We start from the raw sequence: 7352 nt of genomic DNA on the forward strand, positions 1-7352 counted from the left end.
CATCTACTTGAGTGGATTGAGAGACACACATAGCTGGTCAAACACGATTTCAGCCATGAATCAGGCATAAATATTCTGATGGTTAATTTTAGACATGTACTTGACTGGATTAAGAGACACACATAGCTGGTCAAACACGATTTCAGCCATGAAGCAGGCATAAATATTCTGATGGTTAATTGTAGACATCTACTTGACTGGATTAAGAGACACACATAGCTGGTCAAACACGATTTCAGCCATGAATCAGGCATAAATATTCTGATGGTTAACTTTAGGCATCTACTTGATTGGATTGAGAGACACACATAGCTGATCAAACACAATTTCAGCCATGAATCAGGCATAAATATTCTGACGGTTAATTTTAGACATCTACTTGACTGGATTAAGGGACACACACAGCTGGTCAAACAATTTCAGCCATGAATCAGGCATAAATATTCTGACAGTTAATTTTAGACATCTACTTGAGTGGATTAAGAGACACACATAGCTGGTCAAACACGATTTCTGGGCATATCTATGAGGGTGTTTCTGGAAGACACTGAGATAACCATGACCCAATGTGGATGGGCACTGATATGGTTTGGCTGTGTCCCCACCCAGATCTCATCTTGAATTGTAGTTCCTGTAATACCTACATGTCGTGGGAGGGACCCAGTGGGAGGTGACTGAATCATGGTGGTGGTTACCGCCATGCTGTTCTCATGACAGTGAGTGAGTTCTCATGATCTGATGGTTTTATAAGGGGCTTTTCCCCTTTGGCTCAGCACTTCTTGTTGCTACCATGTGAAGAGGGATAGCTTTGCTTCCCCTTCTGCCATGATTGTGAGGCCCCTGCAGCCATGTGGAACTGTCAGCCCATTAAACCCCTTTGTTCTTTATAAATTGCTCAGACTCAGGTATTTCTTCATAGCTGTATAAAAATGGATGAATACAGGCACCATCCAATTGGTTGAGAGCCCAGATAGAATAACAAGGAAGAGGAAAGGTGAATTATCTCCTTCTGAAATGGAAACATCCTTCTTCTCCTGCCCTTGACATCAGAACTTCAGGGTCTCAGACCTTTGGCCTCACAATCAGAGTTACACCATTGGCTTCCCTGATTCTGAGTCCTTTGTATCTGGAGTGAGCCATGCTACCAGCTTTCCTGGTTCTCCAACTTGGAGACAGGCTATTGTGGAAATTCTCAGCCTCCATAATTATGTGAACCAGTTCCCCTAATGAATCTTCTCTCATCTATCTACATATATCCTATTGATTCTGCCTTTATGGAGACCCCTGCCTAATGTGATTACAATAACTACAAAATTCACTACTTTATATAGAAGACTTGGTTTTTGTCTTTGCCCCATTTTATATTTGTATTATAACTATGTATCTGGAAAATGGAACAAGTTTTTTCTTCTTCATATGAGGGCTAAGGCTTTTTTCTCACCAATATTTTTGGAGATTTTAAAGATTTTCTTTTTTTTTTGACATAGAATCTTATGGAGGCTGAGAAATAATTTTTTTTCTATTTTATTCTTCAGCCCCAGGTGTTTGCTTTTGCAGATTCTTGAGCACATTGAGAGCCTCCAAGGCATGGAGTGGGGTGCCTGAAGTTTCAGTGATTATAGGGAGTTGAGAGACTCAACTGGGAAAGGAAAGGTCTAAAAGGAGGCAATTTGGAAAATAAAAATTTTCTCAAAGGAGCCATTAAAGTTGTAAATAATTCTTAGTAAAGTCATGCAAACAGGAAAAGAAGTAGAATTAGTTCCATATTGGTGGAACACATAGTCAGCAGAGGTTGGAGAAGGGAGAATTTAGTGAACTGAGAAGTTCCCATGAAAGCAGCAAGATCAAGATCACAGAGACACCTTGAAACAAAAAGCCAGGAATAACTTCCAACCCAAGAGGAGAACAGAGAGGCCTCAAAACCAAAGCTAGGATAAGAAACTTGTAGCCCAAGAGTTATCTTCCAGACAAAGAAGCCTGAGATTCCAACGCAGCTTCAGAGAGTACTCACTCAAAATGTTACTGAAACTGTAGGCTTTTTAATGACTTAGCCATGCCTGCAAAAGGCATTCCCTAAGGTGGCACAGAAGACGGAGCCCCCATATCCAAAGATAGCCAAGGAGAAAGAAAGACCCCTGTTGCCAGAGCCAGTGGGAAAAGGTAACAGAAAAGGAGACAAGGGTCCTAATGGGATGAGATCCTTTCGGATTTAGGCTTATACAAACTCCTGAGAACTGGCAGGTTGACAGCCATAATTGGGGTACCAAACTTTCTACTCATTGGATTACAAGTTCTCAGGCATCCAGAATGATTAACAAAATGATAATTTCTAGGGCTTCTGTGGGAGAGTATGGAAAGGTCTTTTTGAACCTTTTAATGCTGTCAACGGAAGAATGATGAGGTTCATAAATTTGGAAAGGAGACATTTCTTCATTTTTATGCTTATTTTTATTCTTTTTTGAGACAGAGTTTCACTCTTGTTGCCCAGGCTGGAGTGCAATGGTATGATCTTGGTTCACTGCAACCTCCACCTCCTGGGTTGAAGCGATTCTCCTGCCTCAGCCTCCTGATTAGCTGGGATTACAGATGCCCACCACCACACCTGGCTAATTTTTTGCAGTTTTGGTAGAGACAGGGTTTCATCATGTTGGCCAGGCTGGTCTGAAACTCCTCACCTCAGGTGATCCACCCACCTCGGCCTCCCAAAGTGCTGGGATTACAGGCATGAGCCACCCACCCAGTGAGAGATTTATTTTCTATAAAGGGTTGTAGCCTGCAGGGTTGTCCTTCTGACAGGCTGGGAAGCATAGCCTCCAGCCAGAAGCCAGAAACAGATGCTTCAAGGAGGAGGTAAAGGAAATAGCAATTTATGCTGAGTGGAATGGCCAAATAGATTTATTTAATAAGCTCTAGGAGGAGTCATGAATATTTATGGAAGGAGAAATGCATGCACGCACAATTGAGTTTCTTGCTTCTTCATGGGTCCCATGTACAAAAAATGGCAGTGTTAGCATGATCCCAGGGTGGAGTTTTCAGCCCTCTGACATTAAAAGGTGAAGCAGAGGAAATGAAAACTCGCTCTGTGCATCCTCTGTACGCTGGCCAGAACCTCTCCATCGTGGGTGGTCTCTTATCAGGCAAGAAAGGAGAGGTTGATATCAGTGGTGGAGGCTTTGAAAGGGCTGGTTTCTGTTAAATCCTTAGGGAAGAAAGCCTCATCATGGTTAGCAAAGGAGGGGGTATAACGATGTGTATCTTAACCCCATCATCGCATCCTAGCAAAGCTGAGAACTCAGTTTTGAAAGTTACTCTGGGGTCCCCTCAGCCAAGAGTGGGTCTGTTCAGTCAGTTGGGAGCTTAGAATTTAATTTTCATTTATCAATGCTAATGCGAAAGAGTACGCTGTCTTCATGGCAGCTGAATTTGCAAGAAACTCCTTGGATGGGGTTAATGGCAGCTGTATTTTACTGGGAGCTCTGCTTTAATTGGATAAAGTAAGTTCTGGTAAGATTTCTTCATCTTCAGTATCTCAAATGTTTTCATTTAAATAATCTTTATAACAACTTTTGATGTCTGAGTGGAGTCCCACACAGTCATCTATTGTAAGACTTTCTGATTCCTTTTTTTTCCTTTGGTCATTATGAATAGGGCTTCTGTAAATAACTGCATGGTAGCTTTTGATGGGAAATAACATCAAAGTAGTTGTCAAAATACTTAGGAATGTTATTTTTGGATTGTAAGGTGAGACTTGTTTAGCTTTGGAAAAAAATGCCCAACTTGTAATAGGGGAGGAAAAATAATTTTCTGTTTTTGGAATTCTTAGATGGAACGCTCTGTAAAAACTGACAGATTAAAATGAGAAAAACAGAAAAGTTTAAAAACATGTATATCTTATGGTTACATGGGATATACTCAGGGAAAAATGAGTAAATCTCCAACAGGTGGCTTTCAATTCAAGCATAAATACTATCTTCAACTTAAAGAAAGAAGATTTGAGGTGCAGTAGTGGGAAGTTAACCAGCAAAAGCACATTAGACAGGGGTAAGGTTCGTTATACAGAGTTAAGTCCATGCATTCTCCATTGATAAGACTCTTCAGTGATTTAGTTATCCTTCTCTTCTTGGTGTCGAGAGAGGTAGCTTTTAAATGGTGATTTCCTTTATAGGTGTAAATTTTCCTTACACAAGTAACTTTTACTCTGTTTTCACAACTTCCTTTGTTAGCATTTTTTTTTTCAAAATAATTAGCTTGGAATAATTTTTAAGCCAAAGGGACATATTTTGGGGTTGCATATTCTGGTTTCCTACCATTATATTTTGGGGTGGCATAGTTTGGTCTTATACACTGTGTTCTACTGGCAATGAAAAGAGTTCTTGTTTTTCCTCCAGCAATTTGTCATTTGTTAAAGAGCTTAGCAGTTCTAAGAGATATAGACCAGCTGTGCTATCTTTTTGTGGTTTTCAGTTCTCTAGTATGTTAAGCATCTTTTTGTAGGTGTACTTGCCATCTGTAGATCTTCTTTGATGAGGCATCTGTTCAGATCTGTGTGCATTTTTAATTGGGCTGTTTAACTTATTGTTTAGTTTTAACAATTTTTTATATATTTTGAATACAAATTCTCAGATCTGTATTTTGCAAATATTTTCTTCAATATGTGGCTTGTCTTTTTGTTCTCTTAACAAGGTCTCTTCCAGAGTATAAACTGTAAATATTAAGAAATCCACATTGTCATTTCTTCTGTGTATATCAACCTTCTGTGTCATTTGTTAAAATTCATTACCAAACGCAAAGGCACATAGCTTTTCCTCTATAGTTTCTTCTAGAAATTGTATAGTTTTGCATTTTTAGTGTAATGATGATTTTGAGTGATTATTTGTGTAAGTTGTAAAGTTTTCGTCTACATGCATATCATTTCTTATGGTTTCCAATTAATCATTCCCTCACTATTTTTGGGAAAGACACAGGATAGTGGGCTCTGTTAGAGTAGATAGCTAGCTAGACATGAACAGGAGGGGGAGCTCCTGGAAAAGGGAAAGTCTGTGAAGGCTCACGTGGAGGGACCACCAAAAATGCATATATTAGTAGCATCTCTAGTGCTGGAGTGGATGGGCACTTGTCAATTGTGGTTAGGAGGGAGAAGAGGTACCTACGCAGAAACACCCTAGAACTTCTCTTGAGATGCCCCAATCATCATTCACTCTGCAATAAAAATGTCAGAATATTGCTAGCTACATGCTGATAAGAAGGAGAAAGGGGACATTCTTAAGAGAAACCTGGCACCATAAGTACAGATTAGGGCAGAGAAAGACATTCAAAAGAGGCAGCTGCAGTAGATACAAACGTGACCGCTGTCAGCCTGCCTGGTATGGCAGGAAGGAGGCTGGTGCCAGAGTGGATTCGGGTTGATCACCACACATGTACCTCAATCAACAGTGAGGAGGTCCCACAAGGCTAAGTGGGGCAAGTCGGGGACCTAAGGCAGTAGCAGGAAAACCAAAGAAAACAGGCGGAGACTTGAGACAGAGGCAGGAATGTGAAGAAGTCCAAAATAAAAATCCCTGCACAGGACTCTTAGGCTGTTATCATGCACTATCAGCCTACTCCTCCCTATTTTTGTACAATAAGCTCTTTACACTGTATTTCTTTTCAATGAAGTTATCTTCCATCTTTGTACTGCCTCTTGGTGAAAAGCTGTCTTCCAAGTTAATAACTGGGACATCAGCTCTCCGCAGTAATAGCTCCTTTTCAGTTTTAATTTGGAGAACTGATGGGGATTAATAACTGGCGCTCTGACTTTAAGTGGTGCAGGAGGCGGCCAGTAGGGGACGCCAGCCGTTACGCCGGGAGCAAGAGGGCCCTGCGTAGTCCCCATCTGCCTGCATGTGGCGTGCAGCCACGACAATGGCAGCAAGAGGGTCCGGCAGTGTGCCCAGCTGCCAGCAGGCGGGTGTGCTGCCACTATAATGTGAGGAAGAGGGCCCTGCAATGTCCCTAGCTGCCAGCAGGCGGCGTGCCACCACTATACTGCGAGCAAGAGAGCCCTGCCGTGCCCTGGCGCCAGCACGGGGCGCTGGACACCACTGTAAGCAAGAGGGCCCTGCAGTTGTCCTAGTCGCCAGTAGCGGACGCAATGGCAGAGCACCGTGGGCAAGCTGGTCCTGTAGTGCCCGGCTGCAAGCAGGGGGCGCCCGAAACGGGCTTTTCAGATTACTCAGGTTCCACTCGTCTCTGCGCCGCCGGGGACGTGTGTCTCTGCGCGTGCACCGCGCCACCCCCGCGCTCCCCGCCCGGCGGCGCGCGACTGTGCGACTGCAACACTCCCCGCCACCCTCAGCCCAGCGACGTGCGTCTCTGCGCCTGCGCCGCGCCTCACTCCCGCCCGCCCAGCGACCCCTCCCCTCCGGGGAGGCGCCGGCGTGCGTCTACGCCCTGCTCCGCGTCTCCCCAACAGCGGCGCGCCTCTCTGCGCCTGCGCCGGCGCCCCGCGCCTCTCTGCGCCTGCGCCGGCGCCCCGCGCCTCTCTGCGCCTGCGCCGGCGCGCCGCCTTTGCGAGGGCGGAGTTGCGTTCTCTTTAGCACACACCCGGAGAGCATCGCGAGGGCGGAGCTGCGTTCTCCTCTGCACAGACTTCGGGGGTATTGCGAAGGCGGAGCAGAGTTCTTCTCAGGTCAGACCCGGGCGGGCGGGCTGAGGGCACTGCGAGGGCGGAGCTGCGTTCTGTTCAGCACAGACGTGGGGGGCACCGTAAAGGCGGAGCAGCATTCTTCTCAGCACAGACGTTGGGGGTACTGCCTGCCTTTGGGATAACTCGGGGCCGCATCGACGGTGAATAAAATCTTTCCCGTTTGCTGCCCTGAATAATCAAGGTCAGAGACCAGTTAGAACGGTTTAGTGTGGAAAGCGGGAAACGAAAAGCCTCTCTGAATCCTGCGCACCGAGATTCTCCCAAGGCAAGGCGAGGGGCTGTATTGCAGGGTTCAAGTGCAGCGTCGGAACTCAAATGCAGCATTCCTAATGCACACATGACACCCTAAATATAACAGGCATATTACTCATGGAGGGTTAGGGTTCAGGTTCGGGTACGGGTTCAGGTTCGGGTTCGGGTTCGGGTTCCGGTTCGGGTTAGGGGTTAGGGTTGGGTTAGGGTTAGGGTTAGGGTTAGGGTTAGGGTTAGGGTTAGGGTTTAGGGTCAGGGTCAGGGTCAGGGTCAGGGTCAGGGTCAGGGTTAGGGGTTAGGGTCGGGGTCGGGGTCGGGGTCGGGGTCAGGGTCAGGGTCAGGGTGAGGGTGAGGGTGAGGGTGAGGGTCAGGGTGAGGGTGAGGGTGAGGGTGAGGGTTAGGGTGAGGGTTAGGG

General features: G+C 45.5%; 1 annotated feature.

Annotated features, from left to right (window-relative positions):
• Positions 4366–4566: a silencer, noted in NCBI's record as "peak1140 fragment used in MPRA reporter construct". NCBI's record gives its function as "represses an SCP1 promoter by STARR-seq MPRAs in K562 erythroleukemia cells {active_cell/tissue: K562}" and the evidence as "EXISTENCE:reporter gene assay evidence [ECO:0000049][PMID:32103011]".

The sequence above is a fragment of the Homo sapiens genome, chromosome 10 (assembly GCF_000001405.40).
Source record: "Homo sapiens chromosome 10, GRCh38.p14 Primary Assembly".
NCBI lineage: Eukaryota > Metazoa > Chordata > Mammalia > Primates > Hominidae > Homo > Homo sapiens.